The sequence below is a fragment of the Homo sapiens genome, chromosome Y, assembly GCF_000001405.40.
Source record: "Homo sapiens chromosome Y, GRCh38.p14 Primary Assembly".
Taxonomy (NCBI): Eukaryota; Metazoa; Chordata; class Mammalia; order Primates; family Hominidae; genus Homo; species Homo sapiens.
Genome location: NC_000024.10, coordinates 7,308,611 through 7,326,837, shown reverse-complemented (window position 1 = coordinate 7,326,837; position 18,227 = coordinate 7,308,611). Strand labels below are relative to the sequence as shown.

At 45.1% G+C, this 18,227-nt stretch overlaps 2 pseudogenes across 1 annotated transcript in view; one reads left to right on the top strand and one right to left on the bottom strand.

The window, feature by feature from the left end:
- Positions 1–18,227, bottom strand: part of PRKY (protein kinase Y-linked (pseudogene)) — a 107,576-nt pseudogene that overhangs the window by 54,710 nt on the left and 34,639 nt on the right. Inside the window, exon 3 of the transcript NR_028062.1 lies at positions 669–932. The product of NR_028062.1 is annotated as a protein kinase Y-linked (pseudogene) (transcript). The remainder of the gene's footprint in view (positions 1–668; positions 933–18,227) is intronic.
- Positions 2,243–2,541, top strand: RN7SKP282 (RN7SK pseudogene 282; annotated as a pseudogene).

Sequence of the window (18,227 nt, the reverse complement as noted above, 5' to 3'; positions counted from 1 at the left end):
TTCTGACACAGTAAAATGAAGTCACTGTCACCAAATTTGGCAGTAACAGGTTTTTCCTGCCAATTTCAACACTTCACCAAAACTCCACACCTCATCCCTCAAGGTATCATTTTGAGGCAGTAAAACAGTAATTAATGGAAACTTCGGAGTAGGAGAGTATAGATAGTTGTCGTCATTTTTGTCAGGGGAAATGTAAGAATAATTTTAACACTGAGGGTTCCCAGACTGTCTGTTTAAAAAAAAAAAAAAAAACCACACAGATACAATTGCCTCCTGAATCTGTAATCAGGAAATTACCTCTGTAACTGGCTCCTCCCACCCTCCCCACTTCTGAGTCTCCAGTGTCTGTTACACTCCTCTGTATGCCCTGCACACCCATAGCTTACCTCCCACCTATAAGTGACAACACATCCTATTTGGTTTTCCATTTCTGAGTTACTTCACTTAACGATAATACCCTCCACTTCCATTGAAGTTGCCAGCAATCGCAGCCCACCTAAAATGAGCTGTGGGTCAACCTGGCTCTCTCATCCCTGATTGCAAGTGTCTCCCACACATGAGAGTTAAACTCTGGTTCCCAATCTTTCCCTGCCTGACCTGCCACAACTACCACCACCTTTCTCATTGCCAAGCAGTGTAGATTCCATCGGAGTTCACGTTCCTCTTACCTGTCTACCAGCTTCTTGGCAAACCCAAAGTCCGTGAGCTTGATGTGACCATCCCTATCCAGCAGGATGTTCTCCGGCTTCAAATCCCTGTAGACGATCTCCTTGGAGTGCAGGTACTCAATGGCACAGATGATCTCCGCAGAGTAGAAGAGCCCCGTGGTGCTGGAGAAGTGCCCCCGGTTGCGCAGGTAGCTGAAGAGCTCGCCACCCGGCACATACTCCATGAGCATGTAGAGGAAGCGCTCCTCATGCCACGTCCAGAACCTGCAGGGACAGCATACGCTCAGGGCCCCGCCAGGGCAGGGCAGGGGGTACGCCGTCAGCTAGGTGTCAGCACACGCTCAGGGCCCTCCCAGGGCAGGGCAGGGGGTACACCGTCAGCTAGGTGTCAGCACATGCTCACAGCCCCGCCACAGGAGGGGAGGGGATATGCCATGACCTAGGTGTCAGTACACACTCAGGGCCCTGCCAGGGCAGGGCAGGGGTTATGCTGTCAGCTAGGTGTCAGCACAGACACAGGGCCCCGCCAAGGCAGGGCAGGGGTACACCATCAGCTAGGCATCAGCACACGCTCAGGGCCCCGCCACAGGAGGGAAAGGGATATGCCGTATGCTAGATGTTGGGGTAGAGACTCAGCTAGATGACAAAATGTGTGGACAGACACACAGTAATAGCTAGGTACAGATATTGGGACATGGAGCACATAGGTATGAGCACATGGGTAAAGACAGATATTAATATATGGGTATAGATAGGTGTTAGAATGCATGTACATATAAATGTTACAATCTGCTGAGAGACAGAGGTTAGTATACGGGTGCAGATGGGGGCTAATATATGGGTTTACACAGTGTTATAATATGGTATAGAATGTGGATATAGATATATGTTAGTATACAGATATATATGGATGTTAACATGTAGTTATAGATAGGTGTTAGGATATAGGTGTAGACAGATTAATATATGGGTGCAGACAGATACTACAACACGGATATAGATAAATGTTACGATACAAGTGCAGAAGGGGTTAATATGTAGGTACAAAGAGATGTTAGGATATGGGTATAGATGGATGCTACTACATTACTATATGGGTGTAGATGGATGTTAGGATATGGGTTTAGACAGATGTTAATATATGGCTGTAGGTGTTAGGACATGGCTGTAGACAGACGTTATATATGGATGTAGACAAATATTAGAATACAGATATAGATAAATGTTAGAATATAGGTGTAGACAGATGTTAATATATAGGTAGAGATAGATGTTAAGATATAGATGTAGACAGGCATTACAAAAAATATGGATAGATATAAATGTTAGAATATGGGTGAAGAGAGATGTTAACACATAGGTAGAGAACAATGTTATAATATGGATGCTAGGATATAGGTGTAGACATACGTTAATATACACATAAAGACCGATGTTAGAATATGAATGTAGATAGATATTAACATAGAAGTATAAAGAGATGTTAGGATATGGGTGTAGATGGATGTAGACTGGTGTTGCTCTGTGAGTGTAGACACATATTAGGATATGGATGTAGACAGATGCTAATATATGGATGTGAGGGCAATCTGGCTGCAACATCTGCCTGCCATTGATCACCAGGGTTGATTCAGCTGATCTGACTGGCTAGGCAGTTGTCCCCTTCCTCCTCACCGCTCCATATGCGTCCCTCCCAAAGCTGCGTGTTCGGTCAAAGAGGATGACCAACCCCAATAGAGGAGGACTGGTCTTCAGTCAAGGGTATACGAATAGCTGCATTCCCCTGCTAGAACCTCCAGACAAGTTCTCAAGGTCCATAGATGCTAATATATGTGATAGACAGATGCTAAGGTGTGCATACAGACAGATGTTAGGATACGTGTGTGTGTAGATGTGACTCTGGGTATAGACAGGTGCTGAGGTCTACATATAGACAGGTATAATTCATCAGTATAGGTAAGATGCTAAGACGTGTGTAGATGTTAAGAGGTGTATAATCAGATATTGGGATAAGCATGTAGATGGATATTAAAGTACAAGTTCCATAGATGTTACATAGATGTTGTCTTAGTCCATTCTGGCTGCTATCACAAAAATACCATATACTAGAGGGTCTTACAAACAAGAAAAATGTACTATTCTCAGTTCCAGAGGCTGGAAGTCTCTGGACTTCCCACTAATGAACTGCATGGTAAGGGCCCATTCCTGAGGGAAGGGCCCTTCTCACACTGTCCTCCCACAGACCAAGGAGAAACAGGCTCCCTCAGGCCCCTTCACCAAGGGCACTGGTCCTGTTCAACGGCTTCACCCTCACAATTTAATTGCTTCCCCCAATGCTCCATCTTTTAATTCCATAGCTTTGGGGGTTACTGTCTCAACATATGAATTTGAGGGATGCATTTAGACAACAGCAGATGTTAAGATATGTGTATCCTGGGAAATGGGTAAAGGTCTCATTGTCATGGAATAAATGGAGAGTAAATATCAACATCTTGTAATACACCAGCTAACAGTGCGCTATGGACTGAACTGCATCCTCCCAATATCCATATGTAGAAGACCAGACTCTCAAGACCTCAGAATATGACTGTATTTGGAGACAGGGCATGTAAAGAGGTGATTAAGATAAAATGTGGTGGTAGAATGCGCCCCAGCCCAACAGGACTGGAGTCCTTCTAAGAGGAGAGGATGAGGACACAGACACACACAGAAGGACAACCATGTAAGGACACAGGGAGAAGATGGCATCTACAAGCCAAGGTGCCTCAAGAGGCACCAGCCCTGCTAACATATTCTTCTCAAAATTCTAGCTTTAAGAATGGTAAAAAAATAAATCAATGTTGTTTAATCCACCCAATCTATGCTACTTTGTTATGGCAGCCCTAACCTACTAACCAACAACACATAGATCTTCAGAGATCACACCCAATTCAGTAACCTGGAACTATCATTAAAAGCCTGGGAATCAACAATAAACTTGCAGACTGCATCCCAAACCTACTGGGAAAAAGCCCTTTTAAAAAGCCCCAAATGAGGTATTCCTAATTACTTGCTTGTGGTAGCTTGCCCAAGGTGCCTTCTCCTTACAAAGGTGTTGATCAGTGGAAGAAAACACAGCAATGAGAGATCAAGGAAGAGGGAGGGGTAGAGATGAAAGTAGGGAACAAAAGATACTGAGGTACGTCTTGTGCATTCAACATCTCAGCACAAATATAAATACAGTTTGGAGAGATATGCATGGATAATGAAAGGTTTGCTCCTAAAGAAGAGGTGGGGGAAATGATGCAAGATGTGGAACTAAGGGTTTTGGGATTTTGTTTGTTTGGGGTGTTTGGGAACAGGTTCTTACTCTATCCACTAGGCTGAAGTGCAATGGTACAATCATGGCTCATGCAGCCTCAACCTCCTGGGCTCAAGCAATTCTCCTACCTCAGCCTCCCAACTAGGACTACAGGTGCATGTCACCACGCCTGGCTTATTTTATTATTATTATTATTATTATTATCATCATTATTATTATTATTTGTACAGACAGGATCTCACTGTGTTGCCCACACTGGTCTTGAACTCCAGGGCTGAAGTGATCCTCCCACCTCGTCCTCCGAAAATGCTGGGATTACAGACGTGAGACACTGTGCCTAACCTGGGCTTTGTTTTTGGAGAGGACCTAGAAGACACCAGCATGCCCATGTTTCCATTAGCACATGAGAGGGCCACCAGCAGACGGCACCCAGAAGAATCGGAAGCATAAAAGACAATCTTAACCATGACCAGGACACATACTGTTATGTTTCATCTGATCATGACACTATCATGGATGCTCCCTTGCAAGGTCATTCCAATGAGTTGCAGCCAGTCGGTGTACAAAGAAAACAAAACAATGCGCAGGAAACCTTTCCTGAGGACAGGGAAGGATGCTCAAGGTCAACCAGATGGGCTTGTCTGCCAGCACAGGCCATTCCACCAAAACAGTGTAGAATGAAGGCAAAGACCCAGGAGACAGCTTACAATGACACAGAGATTAATGCTAGGAAAAGTCATAGGCTGGGCACAGTGGCTCAATGCCTGTCATCCCAGCACTTCGGGAAGCCAAGGCAGGAGGATCACTTGAGGCCAGGTGTTCGAAAGCAGCATAAGCAGCACAGCAAGACCCCATCTCTACAATAAAAGAATCAGCCAGGCATGGTGGCGTCCCAGCAATTCAGGAGGCTGAGGTGGGAGGATCACTTGAGCCCAGGAATTGGAGGCTTGCAATGAGCTATGATCACAACATCACTGCACTTCAACCTGGGTGACAGAGCCAGATCCTATCCCTAAAAGAAAAAAATAAATAAATAAAACAACATGCTACTGTCAATTTTAAATAAACATTTATTTGACTAAACACAATGTTTATATGTATTAGCAAAATATAGGCCTCTTATATAAAAAAGTCTTACCTGATGCACTTTAAAATTTGCAGATTCTGCAAGGATGCTGGAGTTCGGGGACTAATGACCCACAAATACAGGTTGTAGGAATGCCTTCCGCTCTCCACCTTGCTGCTAGATTCCTGCCCCTCAGCAGCTGAGTGGCTGAAGGGAGCTCAGGAAGCTCAGGATTAGAAATTTCTTTTGTTTTTTTTTCCTTCAGTTACTGAAGGCTGTGCACCTGTGTCCCACCTCTCCACTCACTACAGCTCAGCAAGTTCAAAATCTGTGGTCTTGAGGCATAAAGGGATCCAGGGAGAGTATATGAGGAGGGAGAAGTATCTGTTGGAGTGGTTTTGTTGCTTTGTTTTGTTTGTTTGTTTTGAGACACAGTCTCGCTCTGTCACCCAGGCTTGGAGTGCAATGGCATGATCTTGGCTCACTGCAACCTCCGCCTCCTGGGTTCAAGTGATTGTCCTGCCTCAGCCTCCTGAGTAGCTGCGATTACAGGCACATGCCACTAAGACTGGCTAAATTTTGGTATGTAGTGATTGTTTTCTAGAGCAATCTGTTGGAGTTATAAAGACCTACCACATACCCACACTCCTTTCATCTTATAGCTGACATCTCAAGTCATTTTCTCCTAGCTAAATGCCCTATTGTTCTGTTTTGCACCATTATTGGTTGGGCAAGAGTGTTCCTCTCAGCAATACTTCGTGATTAAGCACATGGTATCTCAAACGCATGAGAGTCAAACTGTACTTCTGTGGATGACCTTAGAAGACAACCACAGTTTCACTGTTCTGGTGGGGAAATATTTTCCAAGATCCAAATACTATCGTACTGGTGAACTTTTACAATAAACTTCTGTGTCAGCTCGTGACTTTCTAAATTTCTTCAGGCCACAAAAATGGTCAAGGCAATAACAAGACCGCTGTGTACAACTATTAATGTGGCTGAAGAGAATGGCTGAAATATGCAAGAAAAAGATGCATTCCCTCCCTCATTCCCTCACCCCCCCATTAGTTTGCAACACATTCTTTGGATATATCCTGTATCCTCCCCATTCATCTCTCTCTCTCTCTCTCTCCCTCTCTCTCTCTCCCTCCTATTAGTTTGCAACATATTCTTTGGATATATACTGTATCCTCCCCCATCTATCCCACTCTGGGATAATAATCTGTACAGATCCTCTTAAGAATAATGCATCACCTTGTCACAATGTAGCAGCAGGTCACCTTTCAGGAGCATCAGAGATAATTAACCGTGGTGGGAGATTAGAAGGATTTGGGTAGGTTAGAAGCAAGGAATGAAAGAACTTTGGGGATTATGCAGGCATGTAGAATATGCAAGCCCTGACAATACAAACATCTCAGGTTCGGTCACTTGGCTTGCAGGGGAAGTTGCAATTTCAACCATGGGTAGGATGATCTGTAGAGGAAGAGAGCTAGGGCTTTGTATCAAATGAGAAGAGGAGGGAAGGGACGAGGAGAGGAGGGGAAGGAAGAAGAGGTGGGGAGAGGAGGAGAGAAAGCAGGGGAGAAAAAGTTACTGCACGAGTGGGGAAAACTACTGAGATGTGTAAGGTTGTATGAAAATACATCTGTTCCACAAGTGTCTCAGTAAAATCAACATCAACAAACCACAAGGCTTAAAAAAGTCACCTAATCAGTATATATGAAATGGAGACATCATTTTTACCTATACACTAATGCGGGATCACCCCTCAGCATCTTTAAGAAGCAATAGTTTACACAGAGAGAGGTACCAAGTAAAAACATATTCCTATAAGAAAAAAAAAAATCTAGAAAACTGGGATTCCCTTGCCCTTCCCCAAATCAATAAGATTAAGTAAATAGTATAAGAAAAAAAAAGTTCTCTGAGACATCCTTCCTTCAAATCTTTTATCAGACTTTGCAGGCGAGTGTGGTGGCTCACACCTGTAATCCCAGCACTTTGGGAGACTGAGGCAAGAGGATCACTTGAAACCAAGAGTTTGAAACTAGCCTGGGCAACATAGGGACACTCTGTCTCTGCAAAAAAATAAAAAGATTAGCCGGGTGTGGTTGTGCATGCCTGTAGTCTCAGGTACTTAAGAGGCTGAGGCGGAAGGACTGCCTGAGCCCAGGAGTTGAAGGCTGCAGTGAGCTATGACTGAACCTCTGCACTGCAGCCTCAGTGACAGAGCCAGACCTTATCTGGAAAAAAAAAAAAAAAGACTTTGCTTACATGGACAGAATTTGTGCAGGGCTAGGTCTTACCAAAGGTAAGGAACAAAATATTCAAAGAGATATTGACTTTACTATCTCCAAAAAACATTTACAAAACATAAGTCACCATGTGCAGGGGCTGTGGGATAGGACAGAGTTTAGTGACCACAGGTGATTTCAAATCTGAGTTTGGAAAATTAGAAACCGGTGCATCAGTTCAACGATTCCAGTTAAATGCGGGACTCTTTCCCTGACATCAAGTCTATAAAAGTTCAAAAGCAATAGACGATAAGAGGGTTTATCACGATAGATATGAGAAGCATGTTCAAAACCTAACCCTTACTGTACGTACTAGCCTCAGCAATCAATGAATTCATCAACACATTAATCAGTAACTCACCAGCCACATTCTTTATTGGTTTCCAGATGTTTTGGACAAGGGCCCCTTATGTGCCAAGCAATGTCCTCGGTACACAATATCAGGAAGGGCAGATCTTGTGACTATCATGAGCTTTGCAGGTTTGAGGGGGAACAGACATTACACTGTAAACTTGGAAGGATGCCTGGAGGGGGTCTTGCAAGACCAGGTAGAAGGTGGGGACAGGGAGGCAGGGGGCATCTCTGTCCCCACAGCTGAAGGCCAAAGGAAGACTGGGGAGGGACATAAAAGAAGGCTAGAGGCCAAAGTGCTCCAGCACTTTGTGGGGCCAAGGTGGCAGACCACTTGAGCCCAGGAGCTCAAAACCAGCCTAGGCACAAAGCAAGACCATGTCTCTATAAAAAAAAATTAAAAATTAGGTGGGCCTGAGGTGTACACCTGTACTCCTAGCTACTTGAGAGACTGAGGTAGGAAAATCACTTGTACTCAAGAGTTCAAGATCAGTCTGGACAACACAGCAAGACCCTCAAAATTTAAAAATTAGCCAGGCTTGGTGGTACAGGCCTACAGTCCCAGCTACCTGGGAGGCTGCGGTGGGAGGATAACTTGGGCCCAGGAGAATGAGGCTGCAGTGAACTATGATGGCACCACCGCACTCCATCCTGGGCAACAGAGAAAGGCCCTGTCTTTGCAAAAAAAAAAAAATTAGAGATGGGGTCTCAGTATGATGCCCAGGTTGGTCTCAAACTCCTGGTCTCAAGCAGTTCTCCCACCTCAGCCTCCACAAGTGCTGAGATTACAGGCTTGAGTCACTGCACCCAGCCTATTTTCATGTCAGAAAGGTTTGGGCTGATACAGCAGGAAGGGGTGAGTTCTGCAGAGATCGGAGATCAATGGAGAGAAGGGGAGGGAATTTAGATAAGCTACGGCGGCTTCTGTGAAGACATCATTGATGTAGATGGGCTCTGGAGATGTGTTTGAGAATTGGAAAGGGTCAAGGCATGGTGGTGTGCACCTGTAATCCTAGCTACTTAGGAGGCCGAGGCAGGGGAAACGCTTGAAACCATGAGTTTGAGACCAGCCTGAGCAACATAGTGAGATCCTGTCCCTACAAAAAAAATTTTTTAATTAGCTGGACATAGTGGTGTGCATTTGTGGTCCCAGTTTCTTGGGAGGCTGAGGTGGGAGGATCCCTTGAGCCTAGGAGGTCAAGGATGCAGTGAGACATGACTGTACCACTGCACTTCAGCCTGGATGAGATGGCAAGACCACATCTTTTCAAAAAAAAAAAAATTAAAAGGGCAGGATTCAGGATGAGAGTGAATACAGAGCCAAAGAAAAGGAAATAAAAAATGGTTCCTGGCTGAGCTCCAAGAGCAGAAGGGGCACTTATAAACGGGGAACTGCAAATGAGGAAATGACTAGGGCTGAGGGGCAAGGAGGAAGAGCAGGAACTCATTTTTGGTGGGAGGCACCTGAGCAGAAGGCTCAGAGAGTGGTCAAGTGGGCGCACACATGTAGCTTGGCAGGCTGAAGGGGTGGGCTGGCAGCAGCGCTTGGGAATCTTGAGACCAGCAAGACAGCAAATGCAAATACAGAGAAAGAGGAATGAGAGGGCAGAGGGGCTCCTGTTTTTCCCACTGTGGGGTCCAAGGAAACGTCACCAGGAAGTGCATGCCCACAGGCACACAGCCTTGCTCCTAGGGTCACATGCACCCTCCCATCCTCTCCAACACTGCCTTGCACAGCTGAGCTCCTCTCGAGGAGAAGTGAGGTCACCTCCCCTGCTGCATGCACTGGAAGACCTCCTCCGCACCAGCAGCGCATCCACGGCCACTTTCCTCCACTTCCACACCAACATCTGTTGTTTTCTTACTTTTCTGTTTTTTTCCTAGATAGGGTCTCACTCTGTTGTTGCACAGGCTGGAGTGCAGTGGTGCGATCATAGGTCACTGCAGCCTTCAACTCCTGAGCTCAAGCAATTCTTCCACCTCAGCCTCCTGAAGAACTGTGATTACAGGCATGCAACACCATCCCTCACTATTTCTTTGAGCTTTTTGTAGAGACTGGGTCTCACTATGTTGCCCAGGCTGGTCTAAAACTCCTGGGATCAAGTGATCCTCCTGCCTGGGTCTCTCAAAGTGCTGGGATTATAGGCATGGGCCACCATGTGTGGAATTTTTTGAGTTTTTGTAACAGCCATTCCAATAGATGACTGCATAAAGAAAATTTAGTATATAAAAGCCACAGAAAATACAGTATGTCAACATTGCTATAAAAAAAATCATGTATTTTGTAACGACAGGGATGGAACTGGAAACCACTATCCTAAGTAAAATAACTGAGACACAGAAAGTCAAATACCGCATAGTCTCGCTCAAAAGTGGGAGCTCAACAGTGGGTCCACATGGACATAGAAATGGAAATAACAGATACGGGGACTCCCAAAAGGGGAAGGCTGGGAAGGGGTTGAGGGCTGAGAAATTACCTATCGGGTACAATGTTCACTATTTGGGTAAGGGGTACCCTAGAAGCCCAAAGCTCACCATGACATGATACATCCATGTACCAAAACTCCACGTGTGTCCCTGAATGTCTAAAAATTAACAACAACACAATAATAATACAACTTCTCCTCCTCAAAATACCCCAGAGGGATCTCCAAGAAAACAAGAGACAAAAATGATGCATACTCTAGTGGCATGAGGCCAAACTGCATGGGGCATGCGTGCGCATTGTGTGTGTGCATGCATGCATACATGTGTGCGTGCATGTGTGCATGTGCACATGTGTATGTGTGCATGTGCACGTGTGTGTGCTTGTGTGCATATGTGCTTGTGTGTGCACATGCTTGTGTGTGTGAGGGGGCTTTTTAACACAAAGAACAGTACAGAAGGATCCATACCAGGCTGTGAAATACAGTTACCTGGGAATGAGGGAGGGTAAGTGGAAGACAGGAAAACTTGAGGTAAGCCTCAGAAAAAATATTTAACTAAAAACACTGCATAGGCTCCCTGCAACAGTGGGAAAAGCATTTAATTACAATACTAAAAATGTATCAAGGGGCCAGGGGTGGTGGCTCACGCCTGTAATCCTAGCACTTTAGAAGGCCCAGGTGGGTAGATCACCTGAGGTCAGGAATTCCAGATCAGCCTGGTCAACAAGGTGAAAACCTATATTTACTAAAAATACAAAATGAGCCGGGCATGGTGTTGCATGCTTGTAATCCCAGCTACTAGTAGGATGAGGTGGGAGAATCGCTTGAATCCGGCAGGCAGAGGTTGCAGAGACCCAAGATCACCACTGCACTCCAGCCTGGGTAACAGAGTGAGACCCCATCTCAAAATAATAATAATAATAAATTAAAAAAATGTATTCAAGCAGCTGAAAGCAGGCACTGGAACAGATATTTGCCGAACCTTGTTCATAGCACCATTATTCACTACAGCCAAGAGGTGGAAGGCACCCCAGTGTCCAAGGATGAATGAATGGGTAAACACAACATGCTGTATCCTCTATACGATGGAACGCTACTCGGGCTTAGAAAGGAGGGAAATTCCTTTCTACAGGATGGGGGAATCTGAAGGACATTACAGTAACTGAAAGAAGCCAGTCACAAAAGGACAAATGCCGTATGATTCTGCCTATATAAGGCTCCTAGAATCACCAAATTCATAGAGCAGAGAGTATGCGGGAGGTTACCTGGGCAGGTCTGGAGGGAGGGGCAATAGGGCATGTTTCATGAGGACAGAGTTTCAGTTGGGGAAGATGAAAAGGAGTTCTGGAAACGGATGGGGATGGGGTTGGGGTGGCGGTTGCATAGAAACATGAATGTGCTCCATGTCACTAAACTGTGCATCTTATATATTTTTTTTCTGTTGCCCAGGATAGAGTGCAGTGGCACAAACTCAGCTCATGGCAACCTCTGCCTTGTGGGTTGAAATGGTCCTCCTGCTTCAGCCTCCTGAGTCATGAACCGTACATTTTAAAAATGGTTAAAATGAGGCCAGGCATGGAGGCTCATGCCTGTAATCTCAACCAAGGCAGGAGGACTGCCTGAGGTCAGAAGTTTGAGAACAGCCTGGGCAACAAAGCAAAATCACAACTTTACCAAAAATTAAAAGGTAAACTGGGCATGGTGGCATGAGCCTGTAGTCCTAGCTCTACTTGGGAGCCTGAGGTAGCAGGACTGCTTGAGCCCGGTAGTTGGAGACCAGCCTGTGCAACACAGCAAAACCCCACCTCTACCAAAATTTTAAAAATTAGGCAGGTGTCGAAGTACACACCTGTAAGTCCCAGCTACTTGGGAGGCTGAGGCAGGAGGATCACCTGAGCCCAGGAGGTTGAGGCTGCAGTAAGCTACGATCACACCAGTGCACAGCGGCCTGGGCAACACAGCAAGACCACATTTCTTTAAAAAAAAAGGAAGTTAAAATAGCAAAATTTTATGTGATATATGTTAACAAAATAAACAAATCCTAAAGAACGTATTCCAGCATAGAGAGCAATCTATGAATCTATGAATGGGGGGAAAAGTCAACATGAAGAAAGGATCAATGTCGTCAACAACAACTGAGACAAGGGAGGTTCCCAAGTCCCCTCCGCCTCCTCTCCAGTGACCTCAGCTGAGCAGCTCTGTCCTCATCTTTAGCTGAAAGCAGCATTTTTCCATCTGCGAAGCTGATCTGCTGTCTTTTATTTGCAGGGTCTGTGGGGATGGCTTCTCCTCTAAAGGATTTTTTTGCTTTTGTTTTTGTTTTTATGAACAGGCAAATCAGCCTCACTAATTTGGAGACACCTTACCGTAGAAGTTGGTCCTCCTCTCTCCAGAGCCTGCCATTAAGCTGGGCTTTTGTGGTGAGAAGAAGAAAATGAGCCATCCTCATCCCATCTCCTCCAACATCTATGCCACGTGAGGCTCCAGAACGGCTCTACTTTCCGACCTGGCTGCACTGCAACTAGCCCTTAACCAAGGTGACCTAGCAGCCCTCGGTGGCTCCATCCACCTGTGGCTTCCTCCCTCCAAGGACCCTGCCTCAGGCTCTCTTCTGAGACAGTTGCTGCAGATGTTTTGCCCTCAAAGTTTCCCAAATTGGAATGCACTCTCTCTCCTTGGATCTCCTCACTGTCCAGCAGCCCAAATGCACAGCCAAGCCAGAGCCAGTCCTTCCTCATACCCCAGTCCCCACGGCAGTCTCCTACACATCTGAGCTCACTGCATTCCTGTGTCCACCTCCTGGCTGAACTCAGATTTGAGTTTCTCCTCCATGTCCCTCCTGCCCTGTAGTGACCCATGGCTTGCTTCCGTGTCACTCCCTGTCTAGAATGATTTTCCACCACCCACCCCTTTCAGCCAATAAACCCCTACTCCTCCTGCAAAATTCTCCTTAGGTGTCCACTGCGTCTTCACCCCCTACCTCTTGCCCTCCAGAGGTGTTAAGGCCCCTTTTCCACGTTATCGCTGGGACTCTTCTCACCCTATGCAGTTCTCCTTAGACCAAGGCACTGGAAGGCTTGGCATCAAATGGAAAACTCCATTCAGAAGACACTACAATTGCATTCTCTTGCAAGAATTTAAACCTCCCTTTTCATACATAGAAAAAGGGAATGAAAGTAAAAAATAATAAAAAAGAAAATTATAGATAATAAAATAAGCCTCCCTTTTTGAAGCATCTGCTTTGCCCTTAAATACTAAAAATGCAATGTATCCGTCTCGGACAATCACCTATCTCAATATCTAGCAATCATCAATCACCTATAGCTATCATCTACCTCAATATCTGTCACCTATCAAATATCTGTCTCAGTTATCAATATCTATCCATCCATCAACTATCTATCACAGTGGTTCAGAACTGGGGATAACTTTTTGTCCGCACAGAGGAAACCTGGTAGAATCTAGAGACATCTTTGGTTGTCACAGATGGGATGGATGCTCCTGGCATCTGAAGCCCAGGGATGGTGCTCAACACCCTACAGTACATAGAGCTTCCACCACAGAGAGTCCTCCATGATCCCGCCCCATGTGTCAGCACTGCTGTGGTTGAGAAATTCTCTTTTAGCATGAGAGCTCTGTCTATATGCAATCGGTCATCAATCTATCAATCACCTACCCATCTCAATATCTATCATCTATAGCTATCTATATTAGTATCTATTGTCTATCACCTATCTTAATAGCTATCATCTATCAGCTACCCATCATCTATTCACCTATCCGTCACCTATCATTTAGTCCTATATTAATATATATTATCTACCACCTATCCATCTCAACATATACCTACTATAGTATCCATCTATCATCTCTCTGTTGGTCATGTATAATAGAGGTTCACTAGTGGAGATAACTTTGCCCTCCCTCCTGGAAGGAACATTGGTGACATCTGGAAACATTTCCGGTTTTCAGAACTGGGGTTGCTGCTCCTGGCCCCTGCTGGGGGGAGCCCAAGGATGCTGTTCAACACCCTACAGTGTGCAGGATGGCCCCACCATAGAGACTCATCCAGCTGTAAATGTGAGGTACCTCCACTGAAAATCCTTGCTTTACACCTTCATCAATAAAAAGTCCAACACCTGGAACTGCCAGCAAAAGGTGGAGGCAGGTGGGCACCTTTAGCAAATCCCATCCATTCTGTACTGCCTTGGTGCAAGTCAAGTCAGCATTGCAACGGGGCCACCTAGAACGACAGCACAGCGGGAAGCACCATCTGAAGGGACCAGCAGCCTGGCCTCAGCCATGCTAAGGCACATTCTCTCCCCAGGATGACGATGATTCTAAACTGAATACAGATTCTCCCTCATGGCAGGTAGCAAAATGTATCTGTAGGCCAGGTGCAGTGGCTCACGCCTGTAATCCCAGCACTTTGAGGGGCCAAGGCACGTGGATCACAAGATCAGGAGATCAAGACCATCCGGACTAACACGGTGAAACCCCGTCTCTACTAAAAATACAAAAAACTAGCCAAGCGTGGTGGCGAGTGCCTGTACTCCCAGCTACTTGGGAGGCTAAGGCAGGAGAATGGCGTGAACCCAGGAGGCGGAGCTTGCAGTGAGCCGAGGTCGCACCTCTGCACTCCAGCCTGGGCGACAGAGCGAGACTCCATCTTAAAAGAAAAAAAAAAAGTAACTGTAACGGGCAAAAATGAGCAATTCAAGAAACTACTACGTGAGGGCCGGGTGGGGTGGTTCATGTCTGTAATCCCAGCACTGTGGGAGGCACAGACAGATGAATCACTTGAGTCAGGAGTTCGAAACCAGCCTGGCCAACATGGTGAAACCTGGTCTCTACTAAAAATACAAAATTAGCTGTGCACTGTGGTGAGCACCAATAATCCCAGCTACTCTGGAGGCTGAGGCAAGAGAATTACTTGAACCCTGGAGACAGCGGTTGCAACAAGCCAAGATTGCATCACCGCACTCCAGCCTGGGCGACAGAGTGAGACTCTGTCTCAAAAAAAAAAAAAAAAAAAAAAAAACTACCACGTAGCAAACAGTGACCAGTGACTGTGGTATCTCATCCTTGTTCAGAGAAAGCCTGCAACAACTAGTGAGTGGCAAAGCCAAGTCATTGGGTTCTAGGGCCTGTCCATCCATCCATTCATCCATTCATCTGTCTGCATCATCTACCTATCAATTTACCATCTATCTATACAAACTATCCAACTATCAGTCATGTATGTATTTATGAACACCTATCTATCCATCTGTCTATATCATCTATCTATTAATCTATCATCTGTCCTTATCATCTATTCATCTATCAACCTACCATATATCTATTTATGAATATTTAGCTATCCATCCATTCATCCATCTGTTTATATCATTTATCCATTTATCAATCTATCATCTATCTATATCATCTATCCATTTATCAACCATGTATCTATGAATAATAATTATCTATCATCCATCCATCCATCCATCCACCTTTCATCTCTCTGTTGCACTGGTTTGTAACTACACACAATTTTACCCCCACACCCTCCAGTCTCCCACGTGATATCAGACAACATCTAGAGAACTTTTTGGTTGTCTCGATCTTTCTGGTTGTCACCACTGGGGAAGAGTCCTGCTGCCATCTGGTGGGTAGAGCCCAGGCACATTGCTCAACACCCTACAGTGCACACAGGATGCCCCACCACAGAGAATCACCCACGCCCAGATGTCAGCAGTGCTCAGGTTGAGAAACCCTGTTCTGGATCCAAATGTCAGAAATTCCTGTATGCATCATGGTCATGGTCTCTGGGAGGAGCACAAAACTTTCCCTCTGGGAAAGTGACTTTGCTGGATTTCTTCTGCACCTTGAACACTTAGTTATTTGGCTCTTGTAAGAGTCTGAGATGGCCTTGAGAAATGGAATTATCACTGAACAGAATGTGGTCTTTCATGTACACTACATAAATTCCCTGGTGTCTTTTCAAACTTACAACCTGTAGCTGTTCAAATACCACATGCTGATAATGCCATTTGCAAACCTACCATGTTGTTCAAATGGCACTTTGAACTCCAAACAGTCACTGTTCAACTTGATTCCTGTCATGAGTAGCACTCCATGCGGCTTCCAGAAACGCAAGAAAAACAAGCTCAATGTTTTCCCATAACGTGAGAGCTCTGTCTATTTGCAATCTATCAATCACAAATCCATCTCAATATGTATCTCAATATCTATCATCTATAGCTATCTGTCTGTATTAATATCTATTATCTATCACCTATCTTAATATCTATCTTAATGTTAGCTACCCATCATCTATTCACCTATCAATCACCCATCACTTAGACCTGTCTATCTTAATATCTATTATTTATCACCTATCCATCTCAACATATACCTACGTATCATCTCTCTGTCGATTATCTGTCTATCGCAGTGGTTCACTAGTGGAGATAACTTTGCCCTTCCTCCCCCCAAGGAATACTTGGTGATGTCTGGAGACATTTCTAGTTTTCATAACTGGGGTTGCTGCCCCTGGCATAGGCTGAGCAGAGCCCAGGGACACTCCCCAACACCCTACAGTGTGCAGGGCGTCCCCACCACAGAAACTCATCCAGCCGTAACTGTAAGACACTTCCTTTGAAAGTCCTTGTTTTGTACTTTCATCAAGAAATCCAAGACCTAAAACTGCCAGTAGGGAAGCAGATGTTGAGCCAGGCAACCTACATTTAGAAGAGAAGCTGCACAACTGGGAGGATGAAATTAATTCCTCACAGAGGATCTAGGATTCTCCTCTAAGACATACTCCTCAGCATGCAACATTGGACACCCTCCAGCATCTTATCCATGGGGATACACTGGACACCCTTCAGCGTTTTATCCACGGAGCTAGCCAGATCAAGCATTCTCTCCTGTGTTATATATAGGGAACATCAAGTGCCTGGATGCCCTGGATCAACTTTAATCCACTTCTTAAAGCCACATGGTCTCTCAAGCATTCATGCACAGAAAACACAAAATGCTATAGTGGGTTATCGTAACACTGCAGGGTACTGAAAAATCAATTCTCAGCAAGTCACTACAAGGTCTCATGGGCTAAGTTACTCACCCTCTCCAACTGCATATTGGCTTTTGGATTCTTTTTTTGAGAAAAGGTCTCACTCTGTTGCCCAGGCTGCAGTACAGTGGCACAATCACAGCTCACTGCAACCTCCACCTCCCAGGCTCAAGCGATCCTCACACTTCAGCCTCCCAAGTAGCTGAGACTATAGGCACCCACCACCACACCCAGCTAATTTTTGTACTTTTTGTAGAGACAGGGTCTTGCCATGTTGCCCAGGGTGGTCTCAAACTCCTGGGCACAAGGAATCCTCCTACCTTGGCTTCCTAAAATGCTGACATTATAGGTATGAGTCAATGTGTCCAAGTGGCAAACTTGTTTTCTGTAAATTTTGGAAAAAGTCACCTGTAAATTGCTATCACTGTTAAAAGTCACCTGTAAATTGTTATCACCCTTAAGTCTTTAAAGGCTCATTGTTGACAATCATTTCTCTAGATCCAAAACATTTCACAAGAGCTGCAGATTTCAGAGCCTGCCTTGTTTTCTGCACTATTTCAAAATTGAATAATTTTATTTATTTTTCTCTGGTTTTTTTTTTTTTGAGATGAAGTCTTGCTCTGTCACCCAGGCTGGAATGCAGTGGTGCAATCTCGGCTCACTGCAATGTCTGCCTCCCAAACTTAAGAGATTCTAGCGCCCGAGTCTCCCAAGTAGTTGAGATTACCAACCTGCACCACCACGCCCAGTGAATTTTTCTATTTTTAGCAGAGACAGGGTTTCGCCATGTTGGCCAGGCTAAAATTTCTTTTCATATTTTTGTTAAGAGATGACATTCCACTATGTTGCCCAGGCTGGTCCAGAATTCCTGGTCTCAAGCGATCCTCCCGTCTTGGCCTCCAAAAACGCAGGTATTACAGGTGTGAGCCACTGAGCTCATCCCCAAATCATATAATTCTGAAATGAGCTCCTGCCATGTTTTCCCAAAACACTGAATAAAATCCTCCCAAGAATAATATCGAAAGTGGCCTTAAATTCCGTGTAGACTTTAAATGATGAGGAAA